Source organism: Homo sapiens, chromosome 11 (assembly GCF_000001405.40).
Source record: "Homo sapiens chromosome 11, GRCh38.p14 Primary Assembly".
In the NCBI taxonomy this organism is placed as follows: Eukaryota; Metazoa; Chordata; class Mammalia; order Primates; family Hominidae; genus Homo; species Homo sapiens.
In genome coordinates, this window is record NC_000011.10 from 34,800,251 (window position 1) to 34,821,610 (window position 21,360).

Here is a 21,360-nt window from a genome sequence, read left to right on the forward strand (position 1 = left end):
TGGGTGGAGATAGAATTAAAGGCAAGCAAACCTGGGAACTGAAAGACCTATTTGGAGATTACTATAAAACACCAGGCCAGTGAAGTGAGCAACCATCCTGGATTGCCTTCAATTGAGGGGTTCCCTGAAGGTGGAACTTGCAGTACTAAAACCTAGAAAGTCCCAGACATATCGGGATGTTAGTTATCCTCTAGGCATGACATCATGATGTCCTGAATTTTTAGATGACATTAAATGGAAGGATGGGGATGGTCTAGAGGTCAATGGCTTATTGATGGACTGAACAAAAGGGGCAGAGAAAAAGGAGAGTTCTTGACTTCTGGCTTTTGCAACCAGTTAGTAGGTCTTTCCATTGAGATAGATGATTTCCTATTTCTCTGTCTACCTCTGGGCTTTTTGAGAAGAAAGTAAGTCAACACAGAAGATGAGAGTGAAAGAAGACAGCTTCCCATTGTGTTATCACTTCTAGGACTTCAAGCAAATAATTGATGTCACACTAGGGCCAAAGACATGGTCAGCCAGGAAAACCTTGTGTGTTGTTTGAAAGGAGATCAAAGCAATTTATGAATTTTATGATGCTGTTCATAAAATCCCCATGTGGCACCAACTAAGAGATAGGCACAGAGATGAGCAAAGGGAACCCAGATTATCATCAATATTGCTGGTAGAGTCAAGGTCTTGCTGTGCTCACTGGATAACTAGAAGCAGATGAGAATGCATCTTCTTGCAAAGGGCTGCTTCCCTGTAAAGAAAGGGCTGTGTGCTGCAAGGAGCACAGACCTTGTATTCCAGTCCTGCCTCAGCCACTTACCTGTTGTGTGATCTTAGGCAAGATCCTGAGAGCCTTCATTTCCTAACCTGTAAAACTAGAGTAATAATTACTTACTTTGCAGGGTTCTGATGAAAACTAGAGAGACAATGTGTTCTTCTACATGATAGGCTTTCAATCATGCTACCTCACATTATCTTAACTTATATTGTTCTCAGTATGGTATTTAAGCTTTTTAATACACTGTAGGGGGAAAAGGCAAATCAATGTGTTTATTCTGACCCACTTTTAGGGAGACCTTCCCCAGGTTGCTTCCCAAATATGCAGAAGTCTTATAGAGTGGATGAAAGCTCAGTTCAGGGGACATACATACCACCTGTGTCTGAATATCAGCTCTGTCACTTGGTGGTATGATCTAGAACAGTACAACACTCCTCCATGCCTCACTATTGTCACTTATAAAAGAAGGATGATTTCCACTATATCTACCTTACAGGACTTCTGTGGATGTTAAATGAGATTATCCAAGCTAGGTGCTTAATGTGGTTCCTGGCACAAAGACAGAACTAAATAAATATTTTGACTATTTGCTCTTATTAGTAGTGGGAAAAGGTTGTCATGAGCTCTTCCCACTCTCCCATTCCCTTTCACTCATGACTAATATTATACATGTGTGTATCACAGGGACTCTCAATATACTTTATACAGAGATTGGGTTCCTAAGGTAGTGTATATGGTGAAAATTACAGGTATTCAAAATTTCCCTGGAAAATGCCTTCCAATCCCCCCCATGTCTATTCATGTCCTTATCCCACTTTTTGATGGTATTATTTATTTATTATTGCTGATTTGTTTGAGTTCCTTGTAAATTCTGCATATTAGTTCTTTGTCAGATGCATATATTATAAAGATTTTCTCCCATTCTGCGGATTGTCTGTTTTCTCTCCTGACTATTTCTTTTCCTGCGCAGAAGTGTTTTAGTTTAATTAAGTCCCATCTATTATCTTTGTTTTTGTTGTGTTTGCTTTTGGGTTCTTGGTCATGAAGTCTTTGCCTAAGCCAATGTCTAGAAGAGATTTTTCCAATCTTACCTTCTAGAAGTGTTATTGTTTCAGGTCTTAGATTTAAGTCTTTGATTCATATTGAGTTGATTTTCATATAAGGTAAGAGATGAGGATCCAGTTTTATTCTTCTACATGTGGCTTGCCAATTATCCCAGCACGATTTGTTGAATAGGTTGTCCTTTTCCCACTTCATGTTTTTGTTTGCTTTGTCAAAGATCAATTGACTTTAAGTATTTGCCTTCATTTGTGAATTCTCTAGTGTGTTCCATTGGTCTATGTGCCTATTTTATGCCAGTACCATGATGTTTTGATGACTATGGCCTTATAGTACAGCTTGAAGTTTGGTAATGTAAGGCCTCCAGATTTGTTCTTTCCAAAAAGCTCCTAGAACTGCTAAATGAATTTAGCAAAGTTTCAAGATAAAAAATTAATGTACATAAATCAGTAGCCCTGCTATACACTAACAGTGACCAATCTAAGAATCAAATGAAGAACTGCACCCTTTTTACAATAGCTGCAAAAAATTTAATACTTAGAAATATACTTAACCAAGGAGGTGAAAGACATCTACAAGGAAAACTACAAAACACTGCTGAAAAAAATCATGGATGCCACGAACAACTGGAAACACATCCCGTGCTCATGGATGGGTAGAATCAGTATTGTGAAAATGACCATACTGCCAAAATCAATCTATAAATTTAATGCAATTCCCATCAAAATACCACCATCATTCTTCACAGAACTAGAAAAAACAATCCTAAAATTCATATGGAACCAAAAAAGAGCCTGCATAGCCAAAGCAAGACTAAGCAAAAAGAACAAATGTGGAGGTTTTTTGGCTTTTAAATAATGGCCATTCTGACTGGTGTGAGCTGGTATCTCATTGTGGTTTTAATTTGCATTTCTTTAATGATTAGCAATGTTGAGCACTTTTTCATGTGTTTGTTGGCCACTTGTATGTCTTCTTTTGAGAAATGTCTGTTCATGTTGCCCAGTTTTTAATGGGGTTATTTATTTTTTCTTGTTCAGTTGAGTTTCTTATAGATTCTGAATATTAGTCCTTTGTCAGATGCATAGTTTGCAAATATTTTATCTCATTCTGTAGGTTGTTTACTGATTACTCCCTTTGCTGTGCAGAAGCTTTTCAATTAAGTCCCATTTGTCTATTTTTGTTTTGGTTGCATTTGCTCTTACTCATAATTTATTTGCTTAGGCCAATGTCCTACAAAATTTTTCCTAAGCTTTCTTCTAGGATTTTTATAGCTTCAAGTCTTACATTTAAGTCTTTAATCCATCTTGAGTTAACTTTTGTAGACAGTGTGAGATAGGAGTCTGGTTTTATTCTTCTGCATATGGCTAGCCAGTTATCCCAGAACCATTTATTGAATAGAGTGTCCTTTCTCCATTTTTTTTTTGTTGACTTTGTCAAATATCAGTTAATTGTAGGTATGTTGCTTTATTTCTGGGCTGTCTATTCTGTTCCATAGATCTATGTGTCTACTTTTGTATGAGTATCATGCTATTTCAGTTACTCTAGCCTTGTACTATAATTTAAAGTCAGGTAATATGATGCTTCCAGTTTTGTTTTTTCTGCTTAGGATTGCTTTGGCTATCTGAGCTCTTTTTTGGTTCTATATGAATTTTAGTATTGTTTTTCCTAATTATGTGAAAATTGCATTGGTAATTTGATAGGTATTGCATTGAATCTGTAGATTTCCTTGGGAAGTATGGTCATTTTAACATTAATTCTTCCAGTCCATGCTTATGAGATGTTTTTCCACTTGTGTCTATCATGTGTGATTTCTTTCATCAGTGTTATATAGTTCTCCTTGTAGATATCTTTTACCTCTTTGGTTAAACATATTCCTAGGTATTTTTTATGGCTATTGAAATGGGATTGAGTTATGGATTTTATTCTCAACTTGAACATTATTGATTCATAGAAGTGATACTGATTTTTGCACATTCATTTCATATCCTGCAACCTTACCGAGGTCATTTATCAAGTCTAGGATTCTTTTGGCAGCATCTTTAGGGTTTTCTAGAATAAAGAGCATGTCATTAATGAACAGGAATAATTTTACTTACTCTTTTCCAATTTGAATGACTTTTATTTCTTTCTCTTGCCTGATAGCTCTGGCTAAGACTTCCAGTAATATGTTGAATAGAAATGATGAAAGTAAGCATCTTTGTTTTATTGTAGCTCTTAGGGGGAATGCTCTCAACTTTTCTCCATTCAGTGTGGCATTGGCTGTGCATTAGTCATAGACAGCTCTTATTATTTTGAAGTAAGTTCCTTCAATGCCTAGTTTATTGAGGGTTTTGAACATGAAGGGATATTGAACTTTATTGAATGCCTTTTCTGCATCAATTGAAATGATTATGTGGTTTTTGTTTTTAGTTCTGTTTATATGATGAATCACATTTATTGATTTACCTATGTTGAACCAGCCTTGTGTCTCAGAGATAAAACTTATTTGATCATAGAGGATTAGTTTTTTAATGTGCTGCTGGATTCAGTTTGCTAGTATTTTGTTAAGAATTTTTGCAACTATGTTTGTCAGGGATATTGGTCTGTAACTTTGCTTTTGTTGTTGTGCTCTTGCCTAATTTTGCTATAGGGGGTGATAGTGGTTTCATAGAATGAGTTAGAGAGGAATCTTTATCCTTGATTTTTGGGAACAATTTTAGTAAGATTGCTGCCAGCTCTTTTTATATGTCTAGTAAAATTTGGCTATGAATCTGTCTGGTCCTGGGCTTGTTGTTGTTGTTGTCAGGAGATTTTAAATTACTGATTCAGTTTGACTACTCATTATTGATCTGTTCAGCATTTCTATTTATTCCTGGCTCAATCTTGGGTCATTGTATGTTTCTAGGAATTTATCACTTCCTATAGGTTTTTATAGTTTGTGTGCATAGAAATGCTCAGAGTAATCACTGATGATCTTTTGAATTTCTGTAGTATTAGTTGTAATGTTACCTTAATCATTTCTGGTTGTGCTTGTTAATAGCTTCTTTCTTTTTTCCTTGGTTAATCTTGCTAGTGGTCTATCAATTTTTTTATCCTTTCAAATAATCAACTTTTCATTTCATTGATCCTTTGTGTCTTTTTTTTGTCTCAATTCATTGAATTCTGCTCTGATCTTTGTCCTTTCTTTTCTTCTGCTAGTTTGGGGTTTGATTTGTTCTTGTTCATCTGATTCCTTGAGGCATGACATTAGGTTGTTAATTTGAGATCTTTTTATCTTTTTGATGTAGGCATTTAACACCATAAACTTGCCTATAAGCACTGCTTTTGCTGTATGCCATTACGGTCACAATTAAAAATAGAAATAAACAAAGAATCTATTCAACCATGTAAACACAAATAAAAAGCCATATCCATCATCATTTATTGGGTAATATGCATTGATTATAATTGATTATAATAAATCAGCATGTAATATATTCCAGACACAATGCTAAGTGCTTTACTTACATTTTACAGAAAAGGGTGTCGGGACAGAAAGTTTATATCATAATGTTTAGTTAGGGTTTTCCACAAACCTGAGACATTTCTGGTGCTTCACCTACGTTCCCTCACTTAATCCTCATGAGGGAAATATTGTATCAATTACATTTTCAAATGAAGACAACAAGGCTCAGAGGGGATCATCAATTAAGTCTGAAGAACTAGTTTAAAGAGAAGCCCACTTGAATCTCTAAACAAGGAGGCAGAACTAGTGATATTCTTAAAGAACACTTTTCAGCTTATCACTATTCTGGGTCAAAAGAGATGATCTTTCTTTAAATTTGTTCTTTCCCCTTAACTCTGTTGCCCTTTGCTTGGCTACTATATGTAAAGAATGTAGTGAAGTCAGTGGTTTATTCATTCCCACAGCTAGTGCTTACTGAGGACCTACTCTGCTAGCTGCTGGGGACTCTGTGATTGAAGATCTGCTCCCTGTCCTAGCGTTGTAATAGTATATTAGTAGGCTAAAAGATAACAGCCATTTCCCGTATAGCATTTGTCCATATGTATAATCTCTTCAGCTGCATCCTGAGAGAGGTTTCACTGGTATCATATCTCAGCCTCAAGGCACTGACCACGTGAGCTCTTCCTTTACAGCTAATTGATCCAAGTGGCCCTGACTAGGTCTCTAACCAAGAGAAGGCTCTTTGGAGATAGAACATTTTCAACAAGCGAAAACACAGAAAATCATGACACATTGAAACTTGCAGTGGAGGCTTGGATCATTTAATTTTTCTCTACTTCTACGAAAGATTTTTTTAACATTTCCAGATTAAAGTGGTTCACCTGAGTGCCCTGATTCATATACATACATTCACATACAAGTCAGGAGAGCAGGGCAAGATTCCAGTCAACCTGGAAATGTTGAAAAACATCAGATTTTACATAAAAGATATGTGTATTTTCTCCAAATCTACATGTGGTCATTCAAACATCAAACCAGAAGCTCTGGGAGTCTCACTGAATTCTCGGTTTGCCTTGAAAAGTCATGTGACCTTGACAGCACTATTCATCAGCACTAGCTTCAGTTTGGCCTTTTTCCATTAGAATCTATTAGCCATCAGTTTTTTCTTTCAAGACTACTATTCTGTGACTCCTGTATTTGATTTCTAAAAATGTCCTAGTCTCCCAGAGATTCCCACCCATGGGGTTTGACTTTGTATGTTACTGATGGACTAGGGTGCTTTACTCTCGCAGATATTAAATATTAACAGAGAAATATGGAGAATATGCAAGCTAAGAAAACTACACATACACTTATTGTTTGGTAAGCAAGCAGATTTTTTTGTCCTACACTGGGTTACAATAAAGGCTATATTTATTTTCCTCATCTTAATGCGTTCTAGGATTACCTTTGAGTCCAGACAAGTAGAAAGGTGAAGACTTTTTTTTTTAAACATAGGCAACCCAACACACCAGTTGGTCCCAAAGAAGACGTGCACTTTCACGTGATTGAGAGGTGTGAGACTAGCCAGGCAGCAAAGGCTATTACCATCAAATTCCACTTCCTCACTTCCTTCCACTCCACCAAATCTAATCAGTAACCGCAGGGGAAGGGCAAAGGCATTTAGTAAGTATTGACACCCAGGATTCCAAGAAGCGTACCAAGCTTTTACCAGGACTGTTCAGGTTTTCAGAGACAAACCAATAGGAAATGACTTTTTCTATTCCCAGCCCATCAAAAGAATGAAATAAAAATTGCCAAACTTGACTTGGCATGTGACCACAGTGCTGCCAAAGACAAGGGGTATGACTGAAAGGAGAAGTCAATAAACCTAAAGTCACCATCCACATCCAACCCACCCCACCACCCCCAACCCCACAAACATACACTGCTGCCTTCACCTCTTTTCCCAGTTTGACCAATGGGTAGTTATATGAGTATTAGTCTCAGCAAGAGTCAAACTAAAAACACTGAGAACCATTAAAATTTTCCTCAGATGAGACCCTAAAGCATGGGAGATAATTCAATATGTTGTCATCAAACTATGGTAAAAACATTGTCTCTTAATTTCTGCCAAAGACAGCAACAAATCTCTCCTCAACTCTCTTAATCTCATGCCAAATAAAACAGCAACTCTATTCCCCCAAACTCTAAACTCGTGTCAACCTGTTTGTGATGACGAAGTTAACAATTTGTAAATTTGAACTTCAAGTGGGTTATTCCTCATTTGGTAGAGACAAAACTTAATGAATTGGATGTGCTGATGGTAATCTCATGGATTTCACTGCAGCAGCTAATAGGATTATAATCACCACACATCACAATCTTCCATGCTTCCAGAACAGACTTGATGTCACCTAGATCTCTTCAAAGATGTTCCCAAACACAGACTACATTCATATTTGCTTAATCCAACAACCCCTTTTCCAAGTGCTTTCAAGTATTTTCTGAGACAGGTTCATGACAATTTTGTAGTTACAATGGCATTAGAACATCTCATGTTTAGCTGGTCAAAAGGATTTTTCCAACCATTCGACCTAATGTGTACTCAAAATTATGTGGGAATCTATACCACATGAATTAGCAATTAACCCTAACTGTGATACAGAAGAGGGAGGGAAAGTCTATGTCTTCACTGAATTTCATGGTTCTTTATTACAAACTGCTAGAGGACATGTTCTTTGGTTGGTGCTGGCATCCTCATTAGCACTGAGCACCACAGCTCAAAAAGCGTGGCTGAATCGATGTATATTGGTGACGTATATCACCAGGAAAAGAACTGCTGAGTTTTGTCACTAAACATCCTTCAGCCATTTTTTGGACCCATCTAGAGAACCAGACTCAAGACAGGTCAAAGTAACAATATGACATGAGGTGGATGAAGCCTTGGAGACAAAATGAATTGTCCTAGGGTCGCAATAGGAGACAAAGGTTAGAACTTAGAATGTGGGGGTCAGTAATTTAAGTACTGTAGTCCCCATGTCCCTTGCTCCTTTTAACCCTTTGAAACTAACCTACGGAGTTCTGCTTCCATCTCTCTTTTGTTTATGCAACTTTTGAACTGGGTTATTTCATTAATTTCAGGAACATTTATTGAGGACCTAATATGGGCGCAGCATATAGAAGGTAGTTTATACAATATACAGTTTTGAGTATATATAGTAAAGAAGTCGGGCAGAACTGAATTCAAACCTCAGTTCTACTTCCTACTAATTCATTACTTTAAGCAAGAGAATTGGTTTCTCTGTGCCTCAGTTTTATAATTTCCTCATCTACAAAACGAGAATAGTAATAGTGTATATCTCACAGGGTTGTTATAAAACTATTGTAACTATCATTATTCTTATCATTGTACCACAACAAATGGTACAAAAGTATAACCATCAATCCCAGGAGAAAAGACACCCTATGAACTGAAAGAAATTAAATACCAAATGAGGTGGCATGTGCTGTATAAATTCGGAAGGAAAAGTCAGTGAAGGTTAGGGTGATCAATAAGGTTTCATAGAGAAGAAAGGGCTTCAGTTGTATTATAGAAAAGAATACACCATGAGAACAGGCAATAAACCATGAGCATTTGATCAAGAAAAGTGTGCTTGGAGAACGTAAGAGTGGATGTAGTGAGGAATACATTTGAAGCTAGGCTGGGAAGGGATTGACTATCCAACTAATAATGATTTTTGACTTCCATTCACTCATTCATTCAACAAGCATTTATTGAGTGAATATTACGGTCCCATGCATTGTTGCCTTGATGATGCAATCATAAGCAAGGCATGGTCTATTCTTGTGGAAATAAACTAATACCAACCAAATGAGAAAAGCAAAGGCTATTTATTCTGAGCTTGAGAAATAATTTATTCTGAACAAGAGGATCAGCCACTGTCACTTGTATTTTTGCAGAAATGCAAAGGCAAGTAGAGGAGTGGGAATGGGAAAGCCTTGTAGTGGAAAAAATGGAAGGCTTCAGGTGTGCCCTGATTGGAGGCTATTGGCATGGGAAGCTGTAGGCAGGATAACTAGAAATGGGTTTCCTGTGTTATTGGATAGGGGAGCATATTTGGTTTTCTCTGGTGGGTGGTAAGTTGGAAGTAGGAATAAAACTTAGGGAAGCTTTCAGTTTTTAATCAAGTCTTGGCCATTTTGGGCCAATTTTTACATGAGTTATTTTTTTAGCTTCCTGAATTGTCATTAAAGATAGCAATCTGGCTTCCTGCAAGTCTGACTTATAACAGGCTGGCTTCCTGAACTGTTTATTGCAGATAAGGAGGCTGGTTTCCTGGGCAGGTTGCTGCAGGTTCTGAGTCAGAATTCTACTTTTATATATGGTTTAGTCATTGTCTGTTTGCATATTCAGCTTCTCAGTGCAGTGAAGAAAAAGACTAAAAAAGGTTGTTGGGGACAGGAGCAAAACAACTACGTTAGAGTGTTATAGGGATGATGAAGTTGGGCTGGGAAAACCTACTTTGGATAAAGTAGTCAGAGAAGGCCTTTCTGAGGAGGTGACAACTATGCAGAGACCTTGAAAATGAGAAGAGGCCAGTCATTTTAGAAGCATAGGGAAGAACATTTCAGGTCAAAGGACAGAGAAAATACTACTTTGAGCTAGAAAAAATATGGTGGGTTTAAATAAATTACAGATCAGTGCAGTTAGGCAGGAATAAGCAAGGAGAGACAGCAAGATAGGAGGTTTGAGAAGTAATTAAGATTCAGGTCAGACAGAACTCTGTGTGTCAAAGTGGAGAATAGATTCTATGAGAGCAGGGAGCTTAGGCAGAAAGCCTATTACAGATGATTTTAACAGCGCAGGTGGAAAGATGATGGTAGCGGTCTGGCTTAAGTTATGGGAAGTAGAGATGAAGAGAACAGTTCACTGATTCCTGGAGACATCTTGAAAAAAGAACAAAGAGCACCTCCTGATAGCCTGACTATGGAGGAAATGGGGAATGGTGATAAAGGGAGGAAATTAAATAACTCCAAACTTATGGGCTTGAGCAACTGAGTACAGGATTATAGCATTTACTGAGATGGGGATACAAAACACAAAGAAAAGTAAGTTATGGGGGTGAAAAATCAAGTTTATCTTAGGGATTGAGAAGGCCATTAATATAATAACAGCCATCTGGAGATAAGAGGCAGGACAGATTCAAAAGTCAGAGACCTCTTGGGCTTAGCCCACATTGACAGTTCACACCTTTTTAGTAGAGAAAATAGACACTCAAATAAAGGACAAACAAGGAAGACAAAAGCTGCAGGAAAAAAAAAAACTACAGATATTTAGCTAAGAATACCTGGCCTCAAAGTTGCTGGTCAGTTTAGCTTTTCAAAAATTGACAACAGTGGCTCACGCCTGTAATCCCAGCACTTTGGGGGGCCAAGGCAGATGGATTGCCTGAGCTCAGGAGTTTGAGACTAGCCTGGGCAACATGGTGAAACCCCGTCTCTACTAAAATATAAATAAATAAATTAGCCAAGCATGGTGGTGTGCACCTGTAGTCCCAGCTACTCGAGAGGCTGAGGCAGGAGAATTACTTGAACCTGGGAGGTGGAAGTTGCAGTAAGCCAAGATTGTGCCACTGCACTCCAGCCTGGGTGACAGCGAGACTCCATCAAAAAAGGAAAAAAAAAAAAAAAGAAGAAGAAGAAGAAGAAAAAAAAAATTGACAACAAGAAATGGAATTGCTTAACATTGTGTGGCCCAATTACCTAGTCTATTGATTGCACTTGAAGCATTCATTGGTGATACAATCATGCAAGAAATGTTCCATTCTTGCTTATAGTCTAGAGAGGCAGAGAGAAGTGTCAGGTTCAAGTTAGCGACTAGTCATTTAAAAGAAGAAAGCCTCTCTTAGCTGTTGACCTTGCTTTCTACTTCACAGGGAAAATGAAAGCAATAAGAAGAGAACTTCTAGATTCCCACAACATCTGTCAACCGCTAGCACCTAGAACCTCATGTTATGCCCTCCCTCCTGTTACAATTGGAAAATTGTTCATGCTTGATAACGAAGCCAGTACCTTCACTCTAGATCCCATTCTTTCTCACCAATTCAAGGACATCTTTCCAGCAATTCTCTTCTCTCCTTTTTGTATAATTTCCATCAACCAATGAATTCACTGCTCATGCTTCCATCATCAAAAAAATAATAATAATTACAAAACAAATTTTAAAACCTTTACTGAAGTAAGTGAACTCTGACTTGACTTCCCCCACCAGCAAATGTCTCATTTCATGGCGCTCATTTTCAGGAAACTCCTTGAGAGAGTTGTCTCTTTTTGATGACTACAATTCCTTTCCTACTGTTTTATTTTTCATTTGCTCAGGTATATTGCAGTATAATTAGCATGCAATAAAGTTCACCCTTTTAAAGAATACATTTTCGTAAGTTTTGAAAAATATATTGGTCATGTAGCCACTGCTATAATCAAAATATATAACATACATATCACCTCAAAAAGTTTCCTTGGACTCTGGTTCCAAAATGATGGCATAAAAGCAAGCCGGCTTCACTCCTCCCCAACTCCCCAAAGAAAACCTAAAACAAATATAGAGTTCAAAGATTATCACCAGCAATATACCAGAACTTAAATGTAAGAATGAGACAGTTCCTGCAGCCACAGAAGATTGAAAAAAAAATCCAAGCAGATGGTAAGAAAATCAGACTTCCATGTCCATGATGCCCGTTTTCTCAATCTGCTCAGCACCAAGCATGCAGGAAATTTTTCCTAGATTTATGGTTTCTACACTAGAAAAAATTGAGATTGAGGTGAACAGCCAGCTTCTCCACTATCTTGGGTTTGTTGGCCGTGGACTTGCCCCTGCCTCAACCCATAGGAAGCATTGCAAGTACCTGAAGGAAAAATTAGCCTTGGAATAGCCAAAGGAAAAGGAGAGGGACTATGATTCCCAGGCTTAGAAACACTGCTCTGTAACTCAGCCAAAGGAAACACCAAATCAGAATGGTTGTTCAGCAGCACCATACTGTAGGAGATTTGTTCCACAGGACCACTGGGCATGAGCTCCTAGCCTACCTTTCCATACTACTGGAATATAACCTTTGGGACCTCCGTCATTCAAGATGGGCAGCACTCTGGTTGTTTACTAGAACCAAGACAAGTGGGGCTTAAGAAACCATCTAGTATCTAAAATGAGACAGCAACCTAGTTGGGGGAAATAAATTAACAGGTAAATTACAAAGAATTTCTAAACAAGTGAATCCAATAAAAACCAAAACAAGCAAGACAAATAAGACTAGAATAAATAATCTTTCACTGCAAGATGTAGACATACATCAACAAGAAACAGCAAAAACAGGGAATCATGATCTCCCAAATGAAGAAAGCAAAGAACCAGTGGCTGACCCTAACTAGATGCTGATATATGAACTCTCTAAGAATTCAAAATGCAGTTTTATGGAAACTCAGTGATCTCCAAGACAACACAGAAAGGCAATTCAGAAATTTATCAGATAAATTTAACAAAGAGATTAAAACAATAAAAAGAAATCAAACAGAAATCTTGGAACTGAGAAATACATTTACTGAACAGAAAAATTTATTAGAGGATCTCAACAGCAGAATTGATCAAGCAGAGGAAAGAATCAGTGAGCTCTAAGACAGCCTATATGAAAATACACAGAGGATAAAAAATAACAAGGAAAAAAGATAAACTACAAGATTTAGAAAATTACGTTAAAAGATCCAATTTAAGAATTATCATTACTCAAGAGGGAGTTGAGCAAGAACAAGGGGTAGAAAGCTTATTCAAAGAAATAATTGAACACTTTCCAAAACTGGAGAAAGAGATAAATGTTCAGGTACAGGAAGGTCAAAGAACACCAAACAGATTTGACCCAAACAGAACTACCCCAAGGCACATAATAATCAAACTCTTAAAGGTCAAACACAAAGAGAGAATGCTAAAAGCAGCAAGAGGAAAGAAACAAAGACCATATAAGGAACTTTGAATTAATCTGGCAAAAAACTTCTCAATGAAAACCATACAGGCCAGAAATGAGGAGAATGACACTTTCAAAGTGATTAAAAAAACTGTCATCCAAGAACACTGTATCCAGCAAAGTTCTCTTTCAAATATGAAGGAGAGACAGGGTCTTTCCCAGACAAACAAAAGCTGAGAGAATTCACCACGACCAGCCCTGTCTTATAAGAAATGCTAAAGGCAGTTCTTTAGTCTAAAATAAAAAAAAAAAACCCACTAACACGCAAAAAGAAAATATTTGAAATTATAAAACCCAATGGCAAAATTAAGTACGTGGACAAACCCAGAATGATAATACTGTAATCATGGTGTGCAATCCACTTGTAAGTCTAGTATACAGCCCAAAAGACAAATCTATCAAAACCAGTAATAGCCAAAGCAACCTGTTAAGAGATAGGGTATATAAAAATATGTAAACTGGGCCGGGCGCGGTGGCTCACGCCTGTAATCCCAGCACTTTGGGAGGCCGAGGCGGGCAGATCACAAGGTCAGGAGATCGAGACCATCCTGGCTAACACGGTGAAACCCTGTCTCTACTAAAACTACAAAAAATTAGCCGGGCATGGTGGCGGGCGCCTGTGGTCCCAGCTACTTGGGAGGCTGAGGCAGGAGAATGGCGTGAACCCGGGAGGCAGAGCTTGCAGTGAGCCAAGATCGTGCCACTACACTCCAGCCTGGGTGACAGAGCAAGACTCCGTCTCAAAAAAAAAAAAAAAAAAAAAAAAAGTAAACTGAGATGATAAAAAATCAAAATGTGGGGGGGGATGAAGTTAAACTATAGTGTTTTTTCTCTTTTTTCTTGGGTTATTTCTATTATTTTCTTTGTTATCTAATACAAGTTGTCTTCTTAATAAATCACTTGTTATATCTATAAGATATTTTTGTAAGCCTCATGATAGCCACAATGTAAAAATCTATTGTATATTAACTAAAAGTTAAAAGCAGTGAATCAAAATATACCAGCAGGAAAAAAATCACTTAATCACAAAGGAAGTCAGCAAGGGAAGAAAGGATGAGAGAAGTTACAAAACAATCATAAAACAAGCAACAAAATGACAATAATAAGTCCTACTTATCAATAACACTGAATGTAAATTTGACTCAATTCTTCAGCTAAAAGGCATAGAGTGGCTAAAAGGACAGAGGACCAAGGTCCAATTATATGCTGCCTTCAAGAAATGCTCTTCACTTATAAAGACACACATAGACTGAACATGAAGGTGTGAGAAAAGTTATTTTGTGCTATTGGAAACAAACAAACAAAAGCAGGAGTAGCTACACTGATATCATATAAAACAGACTACAAATCAAAGACTATATAAAAGGACAAAGAAGGTCACTACACAATAATAAAGGGGTCAATTCAGCAAAAGATATAATAATTATAAATATCTGTGCACCCAAAACTGAAGCCCCCAAGTATGTAAAGCAAAGATTAACAGATATAAAGGGAGAGATAGGCTGCAATACAATAATAGTAGGGGACCTCAACACCCCACTCTCAGTAATGGGTAGGTCATCCAGGCAGAAAACAAAGAAGCATCAAAGTTAACTACATATTACACCAATAGGTTTAGCTGACATTTACAGAACATTTGACATAACTGTTGCAAAAAAACCACATTCTTTTCATCCCCAAATAGAACATTCTCCAAAATAGGCCACATCTTAGGACACAAAACAAGTCTCAGCAAATTCAAAAAAGTAGAAATCGTACCAAGTATCTTTTCTAACCACAATGTAATAAAACTAAAAATCAATAACAAGTGGAACCTCAGAAAATACACAGACACATGGAAATTAAAGAACATGTTATTGAATGATCAACAGATCAATGAAAAATTAAGAAGGAAATTTTAAAATTTCTTGAAACAAATGAAAATGTAAATGAAACATACTAAAACTCTATGAGATACAGCAAAAGCAGTTTTGAGAAGGAAGTTTATAGCAATAAATGCTCATATCAAAAAAGTAGAAATTCTTCCAATAAACAATCTAATAATGCCCCTCAAAAAAGAATAACAAAAATAAAATGAACCCAGAATTAGTAGAAGGAAAGAAATAAATAGCACAGAGACTAAAAAAGTTACAGAATATCAATGAAATGAAAAGCTGGTTTTTTGAAAATGATAAAATTGACAAACCTTTTGCAAGATTAAGAAAAAGAGAAGACTCAAATAAAATCAGAAATGAAAATGGAGACATAACAACTGAAACCAGAGAAATAGACTCACTAGACTATTCTGAACAACTATATGCCAACAATTAGAAAACCTAGAAGTGGATGAATTCTTGGACATATACAACCTGCCAAGATTGAACCATGAAGAAATAGAAAACCTTAGCAAACTAATAGTGAGTAATGAGATCAAAAAAGTAATAAAAAGTCCCAGGACCTGATGTCTACACTGCTGAATTCTAACAAACATTTAAAGAAGAACTAATACCAATTCTATTCAAACTCTTCAAAAAAAATTAAAGAGGAGGGAATACTTCCAAACTCATTCTACAAGGCCAGCATTACCCTGATACCAAAACCAGAGGACACAACAAAAAAAGACAACTACAGGCCAATAGCATTGATGAAGACAGATGCAAAAACCTTCAACAAAATACCAAATCCAACAAAACATTAAAAAGATTATTCACCATGATCAAGTGGGATTCATCCCAGGGATACAAGAATGGTTCAACATATGCAAATCAACAAACATGATATATCACATTAACAGATCTAAGTATAAAAACAATATGATTATTTCAATAAATGCTGAAAAAGCATTTGATAAAACTGAACACCTTTTATGATACAAACCCTCAACAAACTGAGTATAGGAGGAACATACCTCAAGATATATATTCCAATATCAAATGGCAAATTTCAACAATGCAAAAACTGCAATTACATTTGCACCAATCTAATATATACTTTTAGTTTCAAGGGTATATGTGCAGGCTGGAGATATATATATATATATATCTCCTAAATCTGACTACTTCTTGTGTCTTCCACCTCTACCACTCTGGTCTAAGCCACATCATCATTTCTCTCTGAATTTCGGCAGTACCCATTAAGTAATCTCTTTGCACCCTTCTTGCCCTTCAATCTCAACACAATAGGCACCATGACTCTTTCCAACTCTACATCAGATCATATCACTCCTCTGCTTCAAACCATACAATGATTAACAAAATCAAGCATGAGAAAAACTATAGGTCAAATTGACTGAGTAATTCAACAGATAAATGGTAGGGAAAAGAAAGGGATAGAGAAATACCCATGGGTTAAAAGAGACTTCAAATACATATCAAGATTAAACTACAGTGACTAGAGATGAGCTGCAAACTTGGGTGATGAAACATAGAGAAACCAGGAAAATGGTTAGTATAAAAGTTAGACTAGTGGTCACATTTGGGCAGAGGCAGTGAACTCTGTTTGGGACACAGCCCATGGAACGGCCTCTGGGGAGAATGGCAAATTTAATTCTTGATCTGAGAAGTGGTTCGAAGAGCACAGCCCCATCATAACTGACTAAGCTATCCATTTGTTTTGCGTAGTTTTCTCTATTTGTATCTTTTATTTTTCAATAAAAACGTTAAAAGCAATCTTTGCAATGGCTTCCCACATCTCCTCAATTGAAAGCCAAAGTCCTTAAAACTGTTCACAAGGCCTTGAGGTATCTGGTCCATTGTTACCTCTTGGATCGGTTCCTTTCTTTGCTCACTTGCTCCTACTATGCCTGCCTTTTCTCATTCTGTTTCAGCCATAGTTGACTGCCTGTTTTTTCTTGCACATTCCAGCACATCTGCTCTAGTTCTTTCCTCTGCCCAAACATGTCCTTGGCTAAACCCCTCAACTCTTCCAAATCTTCTCTTAGATTTCATGTCCTCAATGAGATGGATGTTGTTGACTATTTAATACAGCCATCTGCCTCCTACCTTAAGTTGCAGACCCCCTTACCCGTCTCTACTTCTGTTTCCCATATAACCTTCTATCATATAGACTTCACTTATTTATTGGACCTTTTTTTTGGTGGTTTGTGACCCCACTAGAATGTGAGCTTCATGAGAACAGAGACTGTATGTTTTATTCACTGATGCACCCCACAGGAAAAGGTAAAGCCAAGGGTAAGGCCTGAGTGATTCGACAGGTAAAGGTACAATGAGCCACTTTGGGATTTAGACAGTTTATTACCTACATAGACAGTGAAGAGAAGGATGAACCAAAGGCACCAGCCCCTGTGATCCTTGTCCCACATGCCAAAGAGGATAACATTAGAACCAAAGGGGCCTGATGACTACGTGAGTTGTGGGATACCTGGTAGTTGAGGAGTATATTAGTCTGTTTTCATGCTGCTGATAAAGACATACCTGAGACTAGGCAACTAACAAAAGAAAGAGGTTTAATGAACTTACAGTTCCACATGGATGGGGAAGCCTCATAATCATGGTGGAAGGCAGGGAGGAGCAAGTCATGTCTTACATGAATGGCAGCAGGCAAAGAGAGAGAGCTTGTGCAGGGAAACTCCCATTTTTAAAACTATCAGATCTTGTGAGACTTATTCACTATCACGAGAACAGCACAGGAAAGACCCACCCCCATAATTCAATTATCTCCTAGCGGGTCCCTCCCACAACACATGAGAATTATGGAAGCCACAAAATGAGATCTGGGTGAGGACACAGCCATATCATTTCACCTCTGCCCCTCCCAAATCTGATGTCTTCACATTTCAAAACCAATCATGCCTTCCCAGCAGTCCCCCAAAATCTTAACTCATTTCAGCATTAACTCAAAAGTCCACAGTCCAAAGTCTCATCTGAGACAAGGCAAGTCCCTTCTGTCTATGAGCCTGGAAAATCAAAGGCAAGTTAGTTCTTCCTAGATACAACGGGGGCACAGGCACTGGGTAAATACAGCTCTTCCAAATGGGAAAAATTGACCAAAACAAAGGAGCTACAGGCCCCCATACAAGTCTGAAATCCAGAAAAGCAGTCAAATTTTAAAGCTCCAAAATGATCTCCTTTGACTCCATGTCTCACATCCAGGTCGCACTGATGCAAGAGGTGGGTTCCCATGGTCTTGGGCAGCTCTGCCCCTATGGATTTGCAAGATACAGCCTCCCTCCCAGCTGCTTTCATGGGCTGGCCTTGAGTGTTTAGGCTTTTCCAGGCACACAGTGCAAGCTGTTTCTGGATCTACCAGTCTGGGGTCTGGAGGACAGTGGCCTTCCTCTTACAGCTCCACTAGGTGGTGCCCCAGTAGGGACTCTGTGTGGGAGCTCCGACCCCACATTTCCCTTCTGCCCTGCCCTAGCAGAGGTTCTCCATGAAGTCCACACCCCTGCAGCAAACTTCTGCCTGGGTATCCAGGCATTTCCATACATCCTCTAAAATCCAGGCAGAGGTTCCCAAACCCCAATTTTGACTTCTATGTACTCACAGGCTTAACACCATATGGAAGTTGCCAAGGCTTGGGGCTTCTACCCTCTGAAGCCATGGTCTGAGCTCTATGTTGGCCCCTTGTAGCCGTAGCTGAAGCAGCTGGGACACAGGGCATGAAGTCCCTAGGCTGCACACAGCTTGGGGACTCTGGGCCTGGCCCACAAAACCATTTTTTCCTCCTAGGACTCCAGGTTTGTGATGGGAGGGGCTGCCATGAAGACCTCTGATGTACCCTGGAGACATTTTCCTCATTGTCTTGGGGCTTAACATTCAGCTCCTTGTTACTTATGCAAATTTCTGCAGCCAGCTTGAGGTTCTCCTCAGAAAATGATTTTCTTTTCTATAGCTTTGTCAGGCTGCAAATTTTCTGAACTTTTATGCTCTGCTTCCCTTTTGAAGCTGAATGCCTTTAACTGCACCCAAGTCACCTCTTGAATGCTTTGCTGCTTAGAAATTTCTTCTGCCAGATACCCTAAATCATCTCTCTCGAGTTCAATGTTCTGTACATCTGTAGGGCAGGGGCAAAATGCCTCCAGTCTCTTTGCTAAAACATAACAAGGGTCACCTTTGCTCCAGTTCCCAAGAAGTTCCTCATTTCCATCTGAGACCACCTCAGCCTGGAATTTATTGTCCATATCACTATCAGCATTTTGGGCTAAGCCATTTAGCAAGTCTCTAGGATGTTCCAAACTTTCCCACATTTTCCTGTCTTCTTCTGAGCCCTCCAAACTGTTCCAACCTCTGCCTGTTACTCAGTTCCAAAGTCACTTCCACATTTTTGGGTATCTTTTCAGCAGTACCCTACTCTTGGTACCAATTTACTGTATTAGTCCTGTTTTCACACTGCTGGTAAAGACATACCCCAGACTGGGCAATTTACAAAAGAAAGACGTTTAGTGGACTTCCATTTCACATGGCTGGAAAAGCCTCACAATCATGTTGGAAGGCAAGGAGGAGCAAGTCACGTCTTACATGGATGGCAGCAAGCAAAGAGAGAGAGCACTGAGCTTGTGCAGGGAAACTCCCATTTTTAAAACCATCAGATCTCATAAGACTTATTCACTATCATTAGAACAGCATGGGGAAGACACACTCCCATAATACAATTATCTCCCACTGGGTTCCTCCCACAACATGTGGGAATTATGGGAGCTACAAGATGTGATTTGGGTGGGGACACAGAGCCAAACTATATCAAGGAGCTATGTGGTTTTAGACCGCAGCTAAGTAGTTTTATATTCCACAGCTCTATTTTGAGAAGAATGTGGCAGAAAGCCCCATACGTCATCAGTACCCAGGAAGTGATGAGATGGGTTTTGAGATAGTCTCCCTGGGAAGATAGAAAGGTAGAAGGCAGATGACCTCAGAGCAGCTCTTCATAAGCCTCACATACTCTGGGGTTCCAAGAGGATCACAGACGTTTTCCCAAGACTCAGATAAGCTGAAGTTTAACTGTCTGGCTGTGTGGCATATGTGGCTATGTATGAAGTTGCAGCGTGCCAGGGCAGAGCTGTTACACTGCAAGTAGGCATTCAGTGAGTAAATGAATACATGAATAGCTAAAAGCCCCTCAATTGTATTGACCGGTAAGGAAAGAGAAGAGAAGATGTAAATTCACTTTTTTGGATAAATAATGTGGTTCAGAGCAAGGAGCATATGGTCTAGAATCAGACTGTTCTAGGTTGTAAATGCAGCCTGGCTACTTAGTGGCTGGATCAACTTAGGCAAATAGGTGCTGTAAAAGTAGTTGCTATAATCTTTATTAACTTCATATTTTATATTTTAATATGAAATTTTATATGTGCAAAGAGTCTTTGTGCATTTGTCTTCTTCTGTCCCCACTCCCCATCCCAATGCTGGAGACTTGATTGTCATTATACTTAACATATTATGGAGATAATAGAACCACCTCTTGAAGACTGGAGAAAAGAAAAGAAAAATTACTCCTATCCAACAAGATTAGTATTATTGCTAAGCCTTTTAATATAACTCTTTCTAGCCTCCTCTCCCACATATATAATAATAACACCTAATGTTTCTAGAGGGCCTCATATGTCACATACATTAACTCACTTAATCCTTACAATACCACTTTCGGCCAGATGCTATAATTATCCCCATTTTCAAGGTGAGAAAACAGAAGTGCAGAGAGGTTTAGTGGCTTGCCTAAGGTCACATACTTAGTCAGAGCTAGAATTTCAATCCTTGTAGTCAGCTCCCAGAATTTGTGCATTTAACCATGATTATAACCCACAAACCATTCTACATTCTAGCATAAAGTCAGAAACTCTACTTTTCCATGCAGAAACATATTCATAGGCATTCTTTTTTTTTTTTTTTTTTTTTTTTGAGACGGAGTCTCGCTCTGTCGCCCAGGCTGGAGTGCAGTGGCGCGATCTTGGCTCACTGCAAGCTCCGCCTCCCGGGTTCACGCCATTCTCCTGCCTCAGCCTCCCCATAGGCATTCATTTTAATATCCATCAAACCATGATATCATATCGTGCATGGTTTCCTTAATCACTTCTCCTGTTTGGGGGCATTTGTTTTTTAATTTTTACTTCTATAAACAAAGTGAGATAAATATCTTTGTACACAAAGTCTTTTCTGTGGTTAAGATTATTTCCCAGA

General features: G+C 38.3%; 1 long non-coding RNA gene across 1 annotated transcript in view, besides 1 other annotated feature; it reads left to right on the plus strand.

Annotated features, from left to right (window-relative positions):
* LOC102723568 (uncharacterized) overlaps positions 1-21,360 on the plus strand; it is a 185,086-nt gene that overhangs the window by 107,657 nt on the left and 56,069 nt on the right. The gene's annotated exons all lie outside the window — the stretch shown is intronic.
* Positions 20,878-20,997: a silencer, noted in NCBI's record as "silent region_3252". NCBI's record gives its function as "represses an Ori minimal core promoter by ATAC-STARR-seq in GM12878 lymphoblastoid cells {active_cell/tissue: GM12878}" and the evidence as "EXISTENCE:reporter gene assay evidence [ECO:0000049][PMID:35858748]".